General features: G+C 37.6%; 1 pseudogene, besides 1 other annotated feature; it reads left to right on the top strand.

Moving 5' to 3' along the window:
• Positions 12,298-12,869: an enhancer, noted in NCBI's record as "H3K27ac-H3K4me1 hESC enhancer chr5:101467333-101467904 (GRCh37/hg19 assembly coordinates)". NCBI's record gives its function as "activates a minimal SCP1, AML or CMV promoter by ChIP-STARR-seq in naive H9 embryonic stem cells {active_cell/tissue: H9 hESC(naive)}" and the evidence as "EXISTENCE:reporter gene assay evidence [ECO:0000049][PMID:30033119]".
• Positions 13,363-13,380, top strand: RNA5SP188 (RNA, 5S ribosomal pseudogene 188; annotated as a pseudogene).

The following is a 20,110-nucleotide window of genomic DNA, read 5'->3' as shown; positions in this document are numbered from 1 at the left end:
TTGATGCGTCGTTTCCCTAGAAGGCTTTAAATGTTGAAGGCAGATGGGAAAAAACTATTATAATAGAGCTAAGAAATATTAAATTTTTCTTCCATGGGTGATATATAACAAGATATAATCTTATAATTTTTTGTTTCAAAATTGTGTCAAAGCAACAGCCATTGTAATTGATATTAAAGGGGGCCAAAAGATGGGACAAGCTGTGTGTGATCTGTTTATGTTGAGATTAGACATCCATCCTGAGTAAGACAGCCTATAATTCTGTAATTACAGTCTGCAAACTATGTGAAACAACAACAACAACAATTTCAGTATGCGTATCACGATAGGAACAACACAATAAATGTATCCTACTTTTCTGAACAGTTCTCTTAATATGATATTTCTTTGATGTCTCAAGTGTGTTTATTCTGTTGAGCGTCTCCTGGGATCGCTGGTGTTCTTCCACTGCATCTTGTTCCTATAAAGGGAAAAACAAGTATTAATGTACCTCAATCAATGAAAAAGCCTTTAAAAAGTTAAAAGGTCTATTTTATATTATAAATAAATTATTTAATAATAAATCTAAATATCAAAGGGGGTTTTTATTTTGTTACAGTAACGTGAATTAGTGGAATTTTATAATCTAAAATACATTTTAAAATTAGGCCCTTTGAAAATTGCTAACTATATATTTAAAATGTTTTCACCACAAAAATGGATAAGTATGGGATGTAACAGGTATGTTAATTAGTTTGACTTAGTCATTCCACAATCTATACATATATCAGACCATCATGTTGTACACTACAAATATACATAATTTTTGTTATTAAAAATAAATTTTTAAAAAATATGCTTTCTTAGTCCTTTATCATACTTTATTTCTATGGGCTACATTTAAAGTTATCTAAGTCCATTTTTATCTCCTTTATTTACTAATATATCTACTTTTTATTTTCTAACTTTTAAAAAATCTATTTTCAGTGGACATTTGCTGTTTCACATAGTGGCTTTGTATTCTGATTTGTGCATTTAGTCTCCATTCTACTTATAATGTCATTCAATTTCTTTTTAAAGAATTATGCCTCCTTCACTGTGAAAATCATAGTGGGATTATATATCCAGATGCCCTGCACATGATTAATGGACAGAAAAAATAAAAAATAATTGGAATTCATGCATTACAGTGTTGGTGGCTGGTGGGAGAATGTTCAGCAGTGTTAGCATCCTTGACCTTCAAAGCACACTTCACCTTGGTCCTTTTACCCAAATTGGATCTCTGATTATTCCTACTGATGTCCTAAGTTTCTTGACAACTTTCTAATAAATTCCATTTTCAATCATGTTAGCCAGCCACTTTATGTTGATAGCAATAAAAACGAAATATCTGACTGATTCAAAATTTTAAGAGTGCATAAAAATATCAAATGTCAGAATTCTATAGGGAATATAAAATAGGGGACTATTCCATCTAAAGTGTTGTAAAGACAAATAATTTTGAACTTTGTCATTTAATAACTCTATTACTCATTTTCTTTCTGGGTCATTTAATCTACTTTTAGAATATTTTCTCCTTATATGTTTCAATGATATATTTGACCCAAGAACATCTCTTAACTCTACTGAATTTTTTTTTATTGTGGGAAGGGATATGCCAGACTACTGTCAGAGTGAAGGGTCATTAGGATATTCAGGTTAGCAGGTTTGGGGAATAGGATTTGAATCAAGTAGCAACTATGTTGACCATAAGTAGCTCATGTTGATCATTGATTCAGCTATTTATTTGTTCATTGGGCAAGTATTCATTGTGAACTTTATGTGTGCCAGGCATATATTAGATATTAAAAGGAGATTATGAAAAAACAGTAAATTTCAATTCAGGATGAGAAATACCCTGAGAAGTGGAAGCATGGAATGCTGTGGGAGCCCCGGAGGCTCCTGAAAAAGCCGAAGATGAATTCTTAAATGAGTCGATGCTTGTTGGGGTCTTGAAGAATGTGTAGGAAGTATCTCAGCAAAGAATGTGGAAAGAAAGAACAAAAAGCATGTGTGCAAAATCATAGGAAAGAAGGATGGTATATTTGAAGAAAGGAAATAGTTCAGTGTGAGTTGAACAGGGTTTCAGGGTTGATGTTAGGGGTTTGATAGTTGACTCTAAAAAGGATGATGGGTACCAGAGATGCCACATTCAGGAGTCTGGGCTTGATGGATAAGCCTGTAGTGAGCTTGGGAGCTATAGGAGTAAAATGCGCATTTTAAGAGAAATCACCCTGACTGCTATACAGAAAATGCACTATAGAAGGCCTAAAATAAAAACGGAGAAATCAGTTAAACCTATTTTAAGAGTCCAGGTAAGAAATTGGAGGAGACCCCTAAGGCAGAGACCCAGTATAATCAGTCTAATGCCCCTCCCAGATAATCACCAAAGGAGGAAACATACAAGTAGATATCACTTTTCAGTGTTAACTTTAAACATAAGTCTCATAGGTAGACTTCATTCATTCACTCATTCATAAATTGAATGCTATTCTATACCCTTGTCATGCATTATTCCAGCCACTTTGTGTATGGTAAGAAATGAAGCAGGAATACTATGTACCTCATGTATCTCAGCCAGAGTTCTAGCAGGGAACAATGAGACATTCCAAATTGCATAATTTAAGAATGTTTTAATAAAAGAGACATTTGTAAAGTGTGTATGGAAATCACAGAGTAGAAGGCTGTTTCCTGGGGTAACAGGTATAATCAGTTTTGACTTGGAGAAATAAGGAAGGGAAGTGGTATCAATAAGTTGGAAGTAGACAGCCTTGTGCAGAGGGGCCACCTTGAGAGAAGCTGTGACTTTCATTGGGGCTGGAGGTTTCTGCTAATCTCAGGTTACTTCTCATAGTGGGGGCTGGAGAATAAATATCCCTACTACCCCTTTATCACTCTGCCCTATCATTCTCTTCTATATCCTGCTGGGGCTCTCAGCTCAAAGAAATGGGAGACAAAAGGCAAGGTGGCTGTGTGATGTTTTCTATGCTGGTCTACATCCCAGAGCAAACATGTTACCATAACATGTCTTTTTGCTTTGTAATGTGGACTGGCATAGGAAATGACCATATTGCTGAAATCGATTTACAGGTTAAATGCTATTTCTATCAAACTATCAGTGACCTTCTTCACAGAATTCGACTTCATGATGAATTAGATTTCATGATAAAAACTGCAATTGCTTTCGAAACCAAAAATCGACAAATGGAATGTAATTAAACTAACAAAGTGTTGCGCAGCAAAAGAAACTATCAACAGAGTAAATAGAGAATCTACAGAATGGAGATAATTTTGGCAAACTATGCATCTGACAAATGTCTAATATCCAGAATCCAGAAGTAGGTGAAACAAATTTACAAGAAAAAAACAAACACCATTAAAAAGTGGGCAAAAGATATGAACAAACACTTTTGAAAATAAGACATACCTGCAGCCAACAAACATATGAAAAAATACTTAACATGACTAATCATTAGAGAAATGCAAATCAAAACTACAGTAAAATATCATCTCATACAGTCAGAATGGCTATCATTAAAAAGTCAAAAAATAACAGATGCTGGTGAGGTTGTAGAGGAAAGGGAATGCTTATACACTACTGGTGGGAATGTAAATTAGTTCAGCTATTGAGGGAGGCAGGGTGGGAAATTCTCAAAGAACTTAAAACAGAAGTGCCATTTAGCCCAGCCATCCCATTATTGAGTACATATATTCAAAGAAATATAAATTATTCTACCATAAAGACACATGCACACATATGTTCATTGCAGCACTACTCACAATAGCAAAGACATGGAATCCACCTGAATGTCCATCAGTGAAAGACTGGATAAAGAAATGTGGTACATATACACCATGGAATACTATGCAACCATAAAGATGAATGAGAACATGGATGATGCTGGAGGCCATAATCCTATGCAAACTAATGCAGGATCAGAAAGCCAAATACCATATGTTCTCACTCATAAGTAGGAGCTAAACATTGAATGCATGCAGACACAAAGAAGGGACCTACAGAAACTGGGTCTTACTTGAGGGTGGAGGGAGGGAGGAAGAAGAGGATTAAAAAAAAACTACCTATCAGGTACGATGGTTATTACATGGATGACAAAATAACCTGTATACCAAACCCCTGTGACATATAACTTATCTATGTAACCAACCCACACATGTACCCATGAACCTAAAGTAAAAAAAAAAAACAAAAAAACAGATATGTTGCAGAAGGTTGAAGAGTTAACTGGGAGGAGTTAAAGGTGTCATGCCTTGAAAATAGCTTGATATGTGGTGGCTTTTCTCTGTATAAGAGTGCATATGGTTATCCTTTCAAGAATTTGTCTAATGTTCGTTTTACCTTGATTTCACCCATATGGAATGTAGGGGGAAGAAAGATTTGTATACTGTGGTTTTCTCTATGTTAGCTTCATCTTGCAGGTATCTCTGGATGGCATCCCCTTCTTCAAGATAGCTTTCTTTTTGAAGTAGGCAGGTTCCTTTATAAACAAATTGGATATGCTAAACTATATATTTGTTAACATTGTATTCAAAGTAATATGCAATGGCACTCGTGTATTGATGTGGTTCTGCAGCATCTTGCACTTTAGGCAGACTTCAGCATGTGTAAAGAAGAATTTGAGTCAAAAAATTGTTTGCAAGGACTTTGCTTCCATTTCTTGTGGCCTATGTTTGCCCATGTGTGAATTATTTGGTATTTTTGCTTTCCTCAATGTTTTGAGGCTGTAATGATGAAAGGCTTCAGTGTCAGGCCTGTAAAATCTATTGCCCTCTATTACTTTTTTCTATATAAATAGAAGGTGACAATAGCAGCTTTTGTCACTGGCAATTTCAAATCCATTATTTTGAATAGAACTGACATTCAGGTTTTTAGTTGGTCTGCTATAAAGTAAAAGATGCAAAAATGACAGCAGAGTAAATTTACCTAGGTATAGGAAAATTGTGTATTTACATTTTAAATTGTGAAAAATAAACTTTTGCTGGTCTGCCATCTATAGCCAATGCTATATTGATGGTACCAACTGGCTTGCATTTTTAATAAAGATAATAGCATAGTTTTGGTGGTTCATTTTTTTTAGCATTTAAAATAAAAAAAATTGTTTCTGGTTGGGGACATTATTTCTTTCAGTAGTCAGCTTGGCCAAATCTGTAAAAGTTATGCTGTCAGGCAATATACCATTTACTCCTGCTTACTCATTACTCATTCATTTACTCATTGAGATTGTTAGCATTCTCAGAATGCTGGAAGGAAAGATTTAGATGATAAAGAGTTGAAGACTTCAATCATATTTCGAGATGTCTTGCAAACAAACGTTAATAAAATGCTTTGATGAGAAAGGAAAGGAGGCTGAGTCTGATCAACTACACAGATATTTATTGCAATGATTTACTTCTTTAGAATATTCCAGTGTTTTGGGGAGTATCACTTTTTCATCTATAATATACTTTAGTTACATGGAGGAATCACAGACATTAATAAAAAAAAAGAACTTCCATGAGGTTTTAAAAATAGGAAAGTATGTCCTTAGCAAACTAATGCAGGAACAGAAAACCAAATACTGCATGTGCTCACTTATAAGTGGGAGCTAAATGATGAGAACTTACCAACACAAAGAAGGGAAAAACAGACATTGGGGTCTGCTTGAGTGGGGAGGGTGGGAGAAGGGAGAGGAGCAGAAAAGATCACTATTGGGTACTGGGCTTAATACCTGGGTGATGACATAATCTGTACAACAAACACCTGTGACACGAGTTTACCTATGTAACAAACCTTCACATATACCCTCGAACCCAAAATATAAGTTTTACAAAAGCTACCCCTGCCCTTTACTCTCACCAGCAAACATTGTAAATTGAGCAATATTGTACCTGCTGGGACAATGAGAATCCAAAAGTAAAAGGCTGTGTTCTTTGCAAACATAAACCAAGCAGGAATGGCGTACAAGACTGCAGCCAGTGTACATGGCTTGCATCTAGGGAACGTGAAGGGCCAAAGTCCTCCCAGGGCCTCCATGGAATGCTATCAATGCTGCACAAAAGAATCCCACATTTTTTTTTTTTTTTTTTGTGACAGAGTTTTGCTCTGTTGCCCAGGCTGGAGTGCAGTGGTGCTATCTCGGCTCACTGCAAGCTCTACCTCCCGAAGAATCCCACATTTTTATACCCACTATGCAGATGGACCTTGGAGGCCATCCAATGTCAGTCATGAAGAGAGAAATGTAAATATAACATTTCACCCCAATTCTTTAAACTTTAATAGCTATAGAAAAGCCAGAAAATAAAAGGGAAAAAAGTCAAGTAGAAGTGAAGAAATGGATTTTATCTCTTCCACTGTAGATTTTGAGCAATAGGTTAGGCCTGCAGTGGGAGAAGAAAGTTTTGAATTGAAAATGAGATTAAAGTTTTGATTTAGGATGAATGCTTTTTTAGTACCTGAAGGTGAATATTACTTGCTGCACATGGATTTTGTTCCCTGAAAGTGGCTCAGAAATCATGTGGTATGAACAAAATGTTGCCAGAGGAATAGGAATGAAGATTGAACAGGGTATGTTTGAAGACAGGGTTTGTAGAAAAATAAATCCATTTCCTGGTCTCAATAAACTGGTAATATTATGATCACAGGATTTTTTTTTTATTATTATACTTTAAGTTTTCGGGTACATGTGCACAACATGCAGGTTTGTTACACATGTATACATGTGCCATGTTGGTGTGCTGCACCCATTAACTCGTCATTTAGCCTTAGGTATATCTCCTAATGCTATCCCTCCCCCCTCCCCCCACCCCACAACAGGCCCCCGTGTGTGATGCTCCCCTTGATCACAGGATTTTTTGTATGTTGAATTTGAAGCACCATAGCATAATAAGTCAGTGCTATGCCTTCTGAATAATTTTATTTCATTAGTGTAATAAAAAGGTTGAAATTGTTTTGTTTGTGCGAAATATATGTGGTATCCATTGATCACCCAAAGTAAACTGAGCCACTAGTCTTTATCTCCACCCTGCTACCTTCTCTTCTGGTACTTATTTCTTTTTTTTTTTTTTTTTTTTTTTGCTGTTCTTTATTTTTTTTTTTATTTTTTTTTTATTATACTCTAAGTTTTAGGGTACATGTGCACATTGTGCAGGTTAGTTACATATGTATACATGTGCCATGCTGGTGCGCTGCACCCACCAACGTGTCATCTATCATTAGGTATATCTCCCAATGCTATCCCTCCCCCCTCCCCCGACCCCACCACAGTCCCCAGAGTGTGATATTCCCCTTCCTGTGTCCATGTGATCTCATTGTTCAATTCCCACCTATGAGTGAGAATATGCGGTGTTTGGTTTTTTGTTCTTGCGATAGTTTACTGAGAATGATGGTTTCCAATTTCATCCATGTCCCTACAAAGAACATGAACTCATCATTTTTTATGGCTACATAGTATTCCATGGTGTATATGTGCCACATTTTCTTAATCCAGTCTATCATTGTTGGACATTTGGGTTGGTTCCAAGTCTTTGCTATTGTGAATAGTGCCGCAATAAACATACGTGTGCATGTGTCTTTATAGCAGCATGATTTATAGTCCTTTGGGTATATACCCAGTAATGGGATGGCTGGGTCAAATGGTATTTCTAGTTCTAGATCCCTGAGGAATCGCCACACTGACTTCCACAATGGTTGAACTAGTTTACAGTCCCACCAACAGTGTAAAAGTGTTCCTATTTCTCCACATCCTCTCCAGCACCTGTTGTTTCCTGACTTTTTAATGATTGCCATTCTAACTGGTGTGAGATGATATCTCATAGTGGTTTTGATTTGCATTTCTCTGATGGCCAGTGATGATGAGCATTTCTTCATGTGTTTTTTGGCTGCATAAATGTCTTCTTTTGAGAAGTGTCTGTTCATGTCCTTCGCCCACTTTTTGATGGGGTTGTTTGTTTTTTTCTTGTAAATTTGTTTGAGTTCATTGTAGATTCTGGATATTAGCCCTTTGTCAGATGAGTAGGTTGCGAAAATTTTCTCCCATGTTGTAGGTTGCCTGTTCACTCTGATGGTAGTTTCTTTTGCTGTGCAGAAGCTCTTTAGTTTAATTAGATCCGATTTGTCAATTTTGTCTTTTGTTGCCATTGCTTTTGGTGTTTTGGACATGAAGTCCTTGCCCACGCCTATGTCCTGAATGGTAATGCCTAGGTTTTCTTCTAGGGTTTTTATGGTTTTAGGTTTAACGTTTAAATCTTTAATCCATCTTGAATTGATTTTTGTATAAGGTGTAAGGAAGGGATCCAGTTTCAGCTTTCTACATATGGCTAGCCAGTTTTCCCAGCACCATTTATTAAATAGGGAATCCTTTCCCCATTGCTTGTTTTTCTCAGGTTTGTCAAAGATCAGATAGTTGTAGATATGCGGCATTATTTCTGAGGGCTCTGTTCTGTTCCATTGATCTATATCTCTGTTTTGGTACCAGTACCATGCTGTTTTGGTTACTGTAGCCTTGTAGTATAGTTTGAAGTCAGGTAGTGTGATGCCTCCAGCTTTGTTCTTTTGGCTTAGGATTGACTTGGCAATGCGGGCTCTTTTTTGGTTCCATATGAACTTTAAAGTATTTTTTTCCAATTCTGTGAAGAAAGTCATTGGTAGCTTGATGGGGATGGCATTGAATCTGTAAATTACCTTAGGCAGTATGGCCATTTTCACGATATTGATTCTTCCTACCCATGAGCATGGAATGTTCTTCCATTTGTTTGTGTCCTCTTTTATTTCCTTGAGCAGTGGTTTGTAGTTCTCCTTGAAGAGGTCCTTCACATCCCTTGTAAGTTGGATTCCTAGGTATTTTATTCTCTTTGAAGCAATTGTGAATGGGAGTTCACCCATGATTTGGCTCTCTGTTTGTCTGTTGTTGGTGTATAAGAATGCTTGTGATTTTTGTACATTGATTTTGTATCCTGAGACTTTGCTGAAGTTGCTTATCAGCTGAAGGAGATTTTGGGCTGAGACGATGGGGTTTTCTAGATAAACAATCATGTCGTCTGCAAACAGGGACAATTTGACTTCCTCTTTTCCTAATTGAATACCCTTTATTTCCTTCTCCTGCCTGATTGCCCTGGCCAGAACTTCCAACACTATGTTGAATAGGAGCGGTGAGAGAGGGCATCCCTGTCTTGTGCCAGTTTTCAAAGGGAATGCTTCCAGTTTTTGCCCATTCAGTATGATATTGGCTGTGGGTTTGTCATAGATAGCTCTTATTATTTTGAAATACGTCCCATCAATACCTAATTTATTGAGAGTTTTTAGGATGAAGGGCTGTTGATTTTTGTCACAGGCTTTTTCTGCATCTATTGAGATAATCATGTGGTTTTTGTCTTTGGCTCTGTTTATATGCTGGATTACATTTATTGATTTGCGTATATTGAACCAGCCTTGCATCCCAGGGATGAAGCCCACTTGATCATGGTGGATAAGCTTTTTGATGTGCTGCTGGATTCGGTTTGCCAGTATTTTATTGAGGATTTTTGCATCAATGTTCATCAAGGATATTGGTCTAAAATTCTCTTTTTTGGTTGTGTCTCTGCCAGGCTTTGGTATCAGAATGATGCTGGCCTCATAAAATGAGTTAGGGAGGATTCCCTCTTTTTCTATTGATTGGAATAGTTTCAGAAGGAATGGTACCAGTTCCTCCTTGTACCTCTGGTAGAATTCGGCTGTGAATCCATCTGGTCCTGGACTCTTTTTGGTTGGTAAACTATTGATTATTGCCACAATTTCAGAGCCTGTTATTGGTCTATTCAGAGATTCAACTTCTTCCTGGTTTAGTCTTGGGAGAGTGTATGTGTCAAGGAATGTATCCATTTCTTCTAGATTTTCTAGTTTATTTGCGTAGAGGTGTTTGTAATATTCTCTGATGGTAGTTTGTATTTCTGTGGGATCGGTGGTGATATCCCCTTTATCATTTTTTATTGCGTCTATTTGATTCTTCTCTCTTTTTTTCTTTATTAGTCTTGCTAGCGGTCTATCAATTTTGTTGATCCTTTCAAAAAACCAGCTCCTGGATTCATTGATTTTTTGAAGGGTTTTTTCTGTCTCTATTTCCTTCAGTTCTGCTCTGATTTTAGTTATTTCTTGCCTTCTGCTAGCTTTTGAATGTGTTTGCTCTTGCTTTTCTAGTTCTTTTAATTGTGATTTTAGGGTGTCAATTTTGGATCTTTCCTGCTTTCTCTTGTAGGCATTTAGTGCTATAAATTTCCCTCTACACACTGCTTTGAATGCGTCCCAGAGATTCTGGTATGTGGTGTCTTTGTTCTCGTTGGTTTCAAAGAACATCTTTATTTCTGCCTTCATTTCGTTATGTACCCAGTAGTCATTCAGGAGGAGGTTGTTCAGTTTCCATGTAGTTGAGCGGCTTTGAGTGAGATTCTTAATCCTGAGTTCTAGTTTGATTGCACTGTGGTCTGAGAGATAGTTTGTTATAATTTCTGTTCTTTTACATTTGCTGAGGAGAGCTTTACTTCCAAGTATGTGGTCAATTTTGGAATAGGTGTGGTGTGGTGCTGAAAAAAATATATATTCTGTTGATTTGGGGTGGAGAGTTCTGTAGATGTCTATTAGGTCCGCTTGGTGCAGAGCTGAGTTCAATTCCTGGGTATCCTTGTTGACTTTCTGTCTGGTTGATCTGTCTAATGTTGACAGTGGGGTGTTAAAGTCTCCCATTATTAATTTGTGGGAGTCTAAGTCTCTTTGTAGGTCACTGAGGACTTGCTTTATGAATCTGGGTGCTCCTGTATTGGGTGCATAAATATTTAGGATAGTTAGCTCCTCTTGTTGAATTGATCCCTTTACCATTATGTAATGGCCTTCTTTGTCTCTTTTGATCTTTGTTGGTTTAAAGTCTGTTTTATCAGAGACTAGGATTGCAACCCCTGCCTTTTTTTGTTTTCCATTGGCTTGGTAGATCTTCCTCCATCCTTTTATTTTGAGCCTATGTGTGTCTCTGCACGTGAGATGGGTTTCCTGAATACAGCACACTGATGGGTCTTGACTCTTTATCCAACTTGCCAGTCTGTGTCTTTTAATTGCAGAATTTAGTCCATTTATATTTAAAGTTAATATTGTTATGTGTGAATTTGATCCTGTCATTATGATGTTAGCTGGTGATTTTGCTCATTAGTTGATGCAGTTTCTTCCTAGTCTCGATGGTCTTTACATTTTGGCATGATTTTGCAGCGGCTGGTACCAGTTGTTCCTTTCCATGTTTAGCGCTTCCTTCAGGAGCTCTTTTAGGGCAGGCCTGGTGGTGACAAAATCTCTCAGCATTTGCTTGTCTATAAAGTATTTTATTTCTCCTTCACTTATGAAGCTTAGTTTGGCTGGATATGAAATTCTGGGTTGAAAATTCTTTTCTTTAAGAATGTTGAATATTGGCCCCCACTCTCTTCTGGCTTGTAGGGTTTCTGCCGAGAGATCCGCTGTTAGTCTGATGGGCTTTCCTTTGAGGGTAACCCGACCTTTCTCTCTGGCTGCCCTTAACATTTTTTCCTTCATTTCAACTTTGGTGAATCTGACAATTATGTGTCTTGGAGTTGCTCTTCTCGAGGAGTATCTTTGTGGCGTTCTCTGTATTTCCTGAATCTGAACGTTGGCCTGCCTTGCTAGATTGGGGAAGTTCTCCTGGATAATATCCTGCAGAGTGTTTTCCAACTTGGTTCCATTCTCCACATCACTTTCAGGTACACCAATCAGACGTAGATTTGGTCTTTTCACATAGTCCCATATTTCTTGGAGGCTTTGCTCATTTCTTTTTATTCTTTTTTCTCTAAACTTCCCTTCTCGCTTCATTTCATTCATTTCATCTTCCATTGCTGATACCCTTTCTTCCAGTTGATCGCATCGGCTCCTGAGGCTTCTGCATTCTTCACGTAGTTCTCGAGCCTTGGTTTTCAGCTCCATCAGCTCCTTTAAGCACTTCTCTGTATTGGTTATTCTAGTTATACATTCTTCTAAATTTTTTTCAAAGTTTTCAACTTCTTTGCCTTTGGTTTGAATGTCCTCCCGTAGCTCAGAGTAATTTGATCGTCTGAAGCCTTCTTCTCTCAGCTCGTCAAAATCATTCTCCATCCAGCTTTGTTCTGTTGCTGGTGAGGAACTGCGTTCCTTTGGAGGAGGAGAGGCGCTCTGCGTTTTAGGGTTTCCAGTTTTTCTGTTCTGTTTTTTCCCCATCTTTGTGGTTTTATCTACTTTTGGTCTTTGATGATGGTGATGTACAGATGGGTTTTCGGTGTAGATGTCCTTTCTGGTTGTTAGTTTTCCTTCTAACAGACAGGACCCTCAGCTGCAGGTCTGTTGGAATACCCTGCCGTGTGAGGTGTCAGTGTGCCCCTGCTGGGGGGTGCCTCCCAGTTAGGCTGCTCGGGGGTCAGGGGTCAGGGACCCACTTGAGGAGGCAGTCTGCCCGTTCTCAGATCTCCAGCTGCGTGCTGGGAGAACCACTGCTCTCTTCAAAGCTGTCGGACAGGGACACTTAAGCCTGCAGAGGTTACTGCTGTCTTTTTGTTTGTCTGTGCCCTGCCCCCAGAGGTGGAGCCTACAGAGGCAGGCAGGCCTCCTTGAGCTGTGGTGGGCTCCACCCAGTTGGAGCTTCCCTGCTGCTTTGTTTACCTAAGCAAGCCTGGGCAATGGCGGGCGCCCCTCCCCCAGCCTGGTTGCTGCCTTGCAGTTTGATCTCAGACTGCTGTGCTAGCAATCAGCGAGATTCCGTGGGCGTAGGACCCTCTGAGCCAGGTGTGGGATATAGTCTCGTGGTGCGCCATTTCTTAAGCCGGTCTGAAAAGCGCAATATTCGGGTGGGAGTGACCCGATTTTCCAGGTGCGTCCATCACCCCTTTCTTTGACTCGGAAAGGGAACTCCCTGACCCCTTGCGCTTCCCAGGTGAGGCAATGCCTCGCCCTGCTTCGGCTCGCGCACGGTGCGCACACACACTGGCCTGCGCCCACTGTCTGGCACTCCCTAGTGAGATGAACCCGGTACCTCAGATGGAAATGCAGAAATCACCTGTCTTCTGCGTCGCTCACGCTGGGAGCTGTAGACCGGAGCTGTTCCTATTCGGCCATCTTGGCTCCTCCCTCTCTGGTACTTATTTCTATAACTTCTAAGGAAGTTTCCATTAAGACTGACCCAGCAATGAGACAGGTAACACTTCATTCCAGTTTCAAACATCAGCATCTTTGAATAAAAATGCAAACAATTGATAATGTAAGAAATTGAATATAAAGAAATAAAGAAGTGAAGTTTTAGTTTTAAAAAGGAAGAACAACTAAAGAAGACAGCAACGGAAAGGAGAGTCTACGGCTATACCACCCTGAATGCCCCAGATCCTGTCTGATCTCAGAAGTTAAGTAGGGTTGGGCCTGGTTAGTAGTTGGATGGGAAAGGAGAGTCTATACGCATCTGGGAGGGAAGGGTTAATTCAGGTGCTAATGATGCATTTACTCACAGATGTAAAGAGGGTTTGAAGTATGGGGAAGTTTTGGAAAAGATAATAGAATTAGGTCAAATGAGGAGTTTTTTTAAGTCATGGGGAAGTTCTATTCTTATAAAGAGTGGGGGAGAGGGGAGAGAGAGAGAAACACCACCACCATAGGATTGATAGGAACTAAAGTGGAAGAACAAACCAACAAGAAAGGGTACATTTTATGAATGCTGTATGTGTAATTTAAGAGAGTTAAACATGAAATCCTATTTAGCTTTATCACCTTGGTGAGTTTTAGGCATGGATCTACGTCATTCTGGATAAATTGCTACAAAATCCGAATCAGTCAAATTACTTCCCAAGCTGCTTACACCATTTCAAGTTTAATTTCTTGGTGACTAGGCAGGATGCTCATTTTTCTCTGATGATTCAAGCTGAGCATTTTTTACAAAATCTGGAGAAGTTTATGATGGAGATTTTTAAGCTCCCAGAATAGACCTGATTAAAAAATTATTTTAACTAAAGGAATGTATTACACCAACTCGCAGTCGAAACGTGGCTTGAATCCCACTCATTGGAGTAATGAATGATTCAAGAAGCCATTAGTATGCCTTTCCATGTTGTATGCTCACACTACTCTTCATCTTTCTCCTTCCCTCTATTCTGACAGTTTAATCTTTCACTTTCTCAGCAGGTTTTCTGATTGGCACTTCAGTAGGTTATACTCATGTTGCTGGTCTACCATCCATAGCCAATGCTTTGTTGATGGTACCAACTGGCTTGCATTTTTAGTGAAGATAACAGCATGGTTTTGGTGGTTCTTTTTCATTTCTTAAGCATTTTAAATCTTTTAAAAAAATGTTTTTGGAAGGAGACATTATTTCTTTCAGTAGTTGGCTTGGGCAAATCTGTAAAAGTTATGCTGTCAGGCAATATACCAAAGACAACTATTTGAAGAGGAAAATACATAAAGTACTGATATTTGTGCATTTAGCATATATAATAAAACTACCTTTAATATAAAAGAGATGGAATCCCTAGACTATCTTTTCCTCAGTTTATGCTTGAAAACATTGATATTTAATAACCCAGGGTAAAGGACAGGTAATCAGCAATTTTCTTGAACAGTAACTTACATTTGATATATATTCCTGTCCTCTTTACAAGCTTCATGCAGTCCTGTAATTTTATATCTCATTATGCTCACTGGCATCTAATAAAAAATGCCAGTGTATAAATCAACTATGAAATTAGCCTAATAAATTGTGTCACACTTTAGAGTTTTTGAAAATCATCATTAACCTCTTTGTAACTTATTGAAATAAAATGGAAATGTGCCTTTTTTCACTTTCCTGTATATGCATGCACACACACAAACACACACATAGCAAATTTGGTTAATTATTTGAGGAATTTACTATTACTAAGCCTTTATTTCACAAATAATTTAAAAGATTATTCAGATATCTGCTTCTGCCTGGGACATAGAAAACTGGAAAAAGTCCGTCACTCTCAACCAAACACAAGAACAAGCTAAATAAACTTAAAAATTATAACTTTTTTGTACACACCTGAGAGGTGAAGTTACAGGACAAGTTATCTGATGTCTAATAGAAAAGCAAGTCCTTGCAAGGGTATAAGGCTCCAAAAATAGTCTCAACTGTGCAGAGATGGGAGGATAGGATCTGGGGCACTGTACTGGCATGAGGGATCCAGTTAAACAGTGTACCAAATTGATAAAGGCTGAGTGTGGGCTACAGTGAGAGGATACCCCTGGGCTGCCAAACCACAGACAAATGGGGAATTTGCACTTACTCTCTGGCTCTTCTCCATGAAAATCCAATGGCTACTCACAAGAAATGCTGAAAGTGGGAAAATCATCCTCCTGTGGTGTAGACCTGAAAGAGGAGAAGCCAATACTGTGAAAAAGGCTTTAAAGAATTCCCATCCTTTGTGAAATTGAAGCCTTTAGCCTCCAAGAGAACAGCAGCAAGCCTTGTGGCCCCCAGGGCACAACTAACACAAAACCAAAATATGTTATCCTTGAGAGAGAAAAAAGGTAAATTGGACTTTGTCAAAATGAAAATTTTTTTGATCTAAAAAAGACACTGTTAGGAGAATGAAGTGGCGAACAATAGAAATAGTTTGTTAATGTGACAAACTGTGAAAATATTTGCAAATCAACTCTGATAAAAGACTTATAATCAGAATATATGAAGAACACTTAAAACTCAATATTCAGAAAATAAAACAATTGAAAATAGTCAAACAATTTGAACACATGTTTCATAGAAGATATATGTATGCCAAACATGAAATTTAAAAGATGCTCAACACTATTTATCATTAGAGAAATTCAAATTAAAATAGCTGTGAGATACCACTACACAGTTACTTACATACCAACAAGAACAACAACAACAATCTGACAATAGTGGGTGTTTCTAAGATGCAGAACAAAAAGAACTGTAATCCATTGCTTCTGGAAATGCAAAAATGGTATAGCCGTTTTGTGGCTATACAGTTTAGAAGGCAGAGAATTTTGTAGTTTTCTATAAAGATAGATTTTTACTTCCAGTTTCCAGTTTTATATGTAAGTAGCTGGGAAGTCACCACTTTGTCCTAAGGACAAGTAAAAAGCTAAACAGTTTGAAAAATCAACAGTTTTTCTTGGACCCCTAAGATAGAGGGAGGACATGGAGAAAAGCTTCCCCAACATTGGAGAGATAGATAGGCAAATACAGGGAGTCATGGCTTACCAGAGGCTCACAAGTGGGAAACCACTGCAGGAACCAGTGGTACGTAGAAAAACCTGAACTGTAATTGATGAATTGCTGGAAGCTCAGTGCCGACAACTCAAGAGTTAAAAACTCCAGCACACCCAGTCATGGGATGCTTCCATAATACTGTGAGATTTACCTTCAGGAGCTTGACCAGGTTCCAGCAGCAGGGGAAGAAAAGGAGCCATTTAAAAATACACCAGAGTGGGTCCGGCACTGTGGCTCATGTGTGTAATCCCAGCACTTTGGGCGGGTGAGGCAGGAGGATCACCTGAGTCACCTGAGGTCAGGAGTTCGAGACCAGCCTGATCAACGTGGAGAAACCTCATCTCTACTAAAAATAGAAAATTAGCCGGGAGTGGTGGCACATGCCTGTAATCCCAGCTACTCACGAGCCTGAGGCAGGAGAATCGCTTGAACCTGAGGGGCGGATGTTGTGGTGAGCCAAGATCGTGCTATTGCACTCCAGCCTGGGCAACAAGAGCTAAACTCCGTTTAATATATAATATATATATATATATTATACACACACACACACACACACACACACACACACACATATACATACACCAGAGCACTCTGTTCTTAACAAGGGCTGTCCTCAGGAGCAAGTAGTTAACCAGGGCGTAACTGGCTGAGGTATTATCAGAGTTTAGCTGATCTGGGAAACTGAAATGAAATACCCAACTCCAGGTAGCTTCCATGTGGGAAATATCCAACTCCAGCCCATCTTGCCATGCTGTTTCACCTAAATGGGAGAGAAAAAAAACTGAGAAACACTTGCAAAGTTCACAGTCCAGGGGCATAGTCTCACTAAAAGACTGAGACCTAATTATAGAATGCTTCCCCTTCCCTGATACCTTACCCCATCATATTACTAAAATCCTATTTTGAGTAATCCCTTTTACCCAGTATATCATGTAGGGCTATCAAAAAAGAATTACGTTGTATACCAAAAGGCAAAAAGCATAAGTTGAAGAGACAGAGCAATCAGAACCAGCTATGTCTGGGTGTTGGAATTATCAGACTGGGAACTTAACACAGCTATGATTGATAGATACGCCAAGGGCTCTAATGGATAAAGGAGACAGCATGCAAGAGTAGATGCACAATGTAAGCAGAGTAATAGAAATTCGAAGAAAAAATCAAGAATAAATACTAGAGATCAAAACACTAACAGAAATGAAGAATACCTTTGGCAGGCTTATTAATACACTGGACACAGCTGAGGAAAGATCTCTGAGCTTGAGAATATATCAATATAAACTTCAAAAACTGAGAAGTGAAGAGAACAAAGACTGGGAAAACCAGAACAGAATATTCAAGGACTGTGGTACAACTACAAAAGGTGTAACATGCTTATGAGAGAAAAGAGAAAAAGGAACAAAAGAAATAGGTGAAATGATAGTGACCGAGAATTTTTCCAAATTAATGCCAAACACAAAACCTCAGATCCAGGAAGTTCCAAGATCACCAAGCAGGATAAATGCCAGAAAATCTACACCTAGGCATATTATTTCAAACTACAGGAAATCAAAGAAAAAGAAAAGTTCTGAAAAAGCAGGGGGTGGTGGAACAGGTAAATACTTTACCTACACAGGAACAAAGATAAGAATTACACCTACGTCCTCCTCAGAAACAGAACCCAACTATACGTTCTTTACCAGAAACCCACTTTAAACATAGACACATATATATTAAAAATAAGTGGATAAAGAAAAATATACCATGCTAACACTTATCAAAAGACAGCAGAAGTAGCTGTGTTAATTTCAGGCAGCGAAGACTTCAAAACAGGGAAAGTTATAAAGAAGAGCATTACAAAACAGTAAAGGAGACAATCCTCCAAGAGACGTAACAAGTCTTAATGTGTATGCACCTAACAATACAGCATCAAACTATATGAGGCAAATGCTAATAGAACTGCATGGAGAAATAGATGAATTCACTGTTATTGTTGGAGACAATACCCTCTATCAGAAATGGACAGATTAAGCAGGCAGAAAATCAGTAAGGATATAGTTGAACTCTATAACACCATCAATCAACTAGATAAAATCAATATCCATAGACTACTCCATCTAACAACAGCAGAATACGCATTTTTTCTCAAGCTCACATAAAACGTTCCTCAGGATAGACCATATTCTGGGACATAAAACATACCTCCAAAAATTAAAAGTCAAGTCAAGTTAAGTTGAAAATAAAGAGATCATAGAATGTCTGTTCTCAGATCACAATGGAATTAAATTAGAAATCCATAACAGAGAGAAAAATACAAAATTTCAAAATACATGGAAATTAAATAACACTTCCAAATAACACTTAGTTCAAAGAACAAATCTAAAGAGAAATCAATAGCTATTTCAAACTAAATGTAAACGAAAACACTACATATCAAAATTTGTGGATTGCAGCAAAAGCAGTGTTTACAAGGAAATTGATAGCATTGAAACACAGAAATATTAGAAAAAGAAGAAAAGAGAAAAAATATCTAAAAGAGGAAATTAGAAAAGAGGAAATTACCTAAAACCTATAATATACATTAGAAAAGAGGGTATTAGAAAAGAAACATCTAAAGTCAATGATATAAATTTCTACCTTAGGGAACTAGAAAACAAGAGTAAATTAAATACAAAATAAGCAGAAAAAAGAATAGATATTAGAATAGAAATCAATAAAATTGAAAATAGAAAATAGACAAAAATCAACGAACCCCAAATTTGAGTATTTGAAAAAGATTAATAAAATTGGTAAGGGTTTAGCTAGAGAAACTAAGAAAAACAGATGACATAAATTACTAACATCAGAATCAGAAAGAGCCATCATAGATCCTATGGGTATTAAATGGATAATTAAGAAACACTATGAATGACTTTATGACCACAGATTTGATAACCTAGATGAAATATACCAATTCCTTGGAAGACACTATTTGCCAAACTCATACAAGAAGAAACAATCTTATCAGGCCTATGTCTATTAAAGAAATTGAATAAATAATTAATAACCTTCAAAAACAGCAGGAATCAGGCCCAGATGTGTTCATTGTCAAATTCTAGTAAACATTTAATAAAAAAATTATTTCCATTCTCTACAGTCACTTTCAAAAGTTAGAAACAAAGGGAATATTTCCTAACTCATTGTGTGAGGCCAGGATTATTGTAATATCAGGCAGAGACATGAGAAAACTTTAGACCCTTATTACTTCTTCATATAAATACAAAAATCATTCAAAATATTAGCAAATAGAATCCAACAGTTTATAAAAAGAATTATACACCATGACCAAGTGGGATTTATTCTAGGTATGCAAGGCTGGTTCAACATTCAAAAACTAATTAATATAATCTATCACATCAACAGGCTAAAAAAGAAAAAAAATGCATGATCATATCAATAGATGCATAGAAGCATTTGACCAAATTCAACACATTCATAATAACAACTCTCAGTAAACTATGAATAAAGGAGAATTTAATCAGCTTGATAAAGAATATCTAAAGGAAAAGTTATACTAATATCACAATGGTGAGAAATTTAAAATTTGAAGATCAGGAACAAGGCAAAAATGTCTCCACTCATTGCCTTTTATTTTTTATTTTTAAATTTTTGTTTAAAAATTATTTTTAGTTCAATAGTTTTGGGGGGTACAGAGAGTTTTTGGTTACATGGATGTATTCTTTGTTGGTGATTTCTGAAATTTTAATGCACCTGTCATCCAAGCAGTGTACCTTGTACCTGATATGTAGTCTTTTATCCCTCCTCTTCCCAACCTTCCCCCATCAGTCACCAAAGTTTATTATATCATTCTTATGCCTTTGCATCCTCATAGCTTAGCTCCC

This window comes from Homo sapiens, chromosome 5 (genome assembly GCF_000001405.40).
Source record: "Homo sapiens chromosome 5, GRCh38.p14 Primary Assembly".
Classification (NCBI taxonomy): Eukaryota; Metazoa; Chordata; class Mammalia; order Primates; family Hominidae; genus Homo; species Homo sapiens.
The sequence above is the reverse complement of the archived record's forward strand: the minus strand, read 5'-3'. Positions and strand labels throughout refer to the sequence as shown.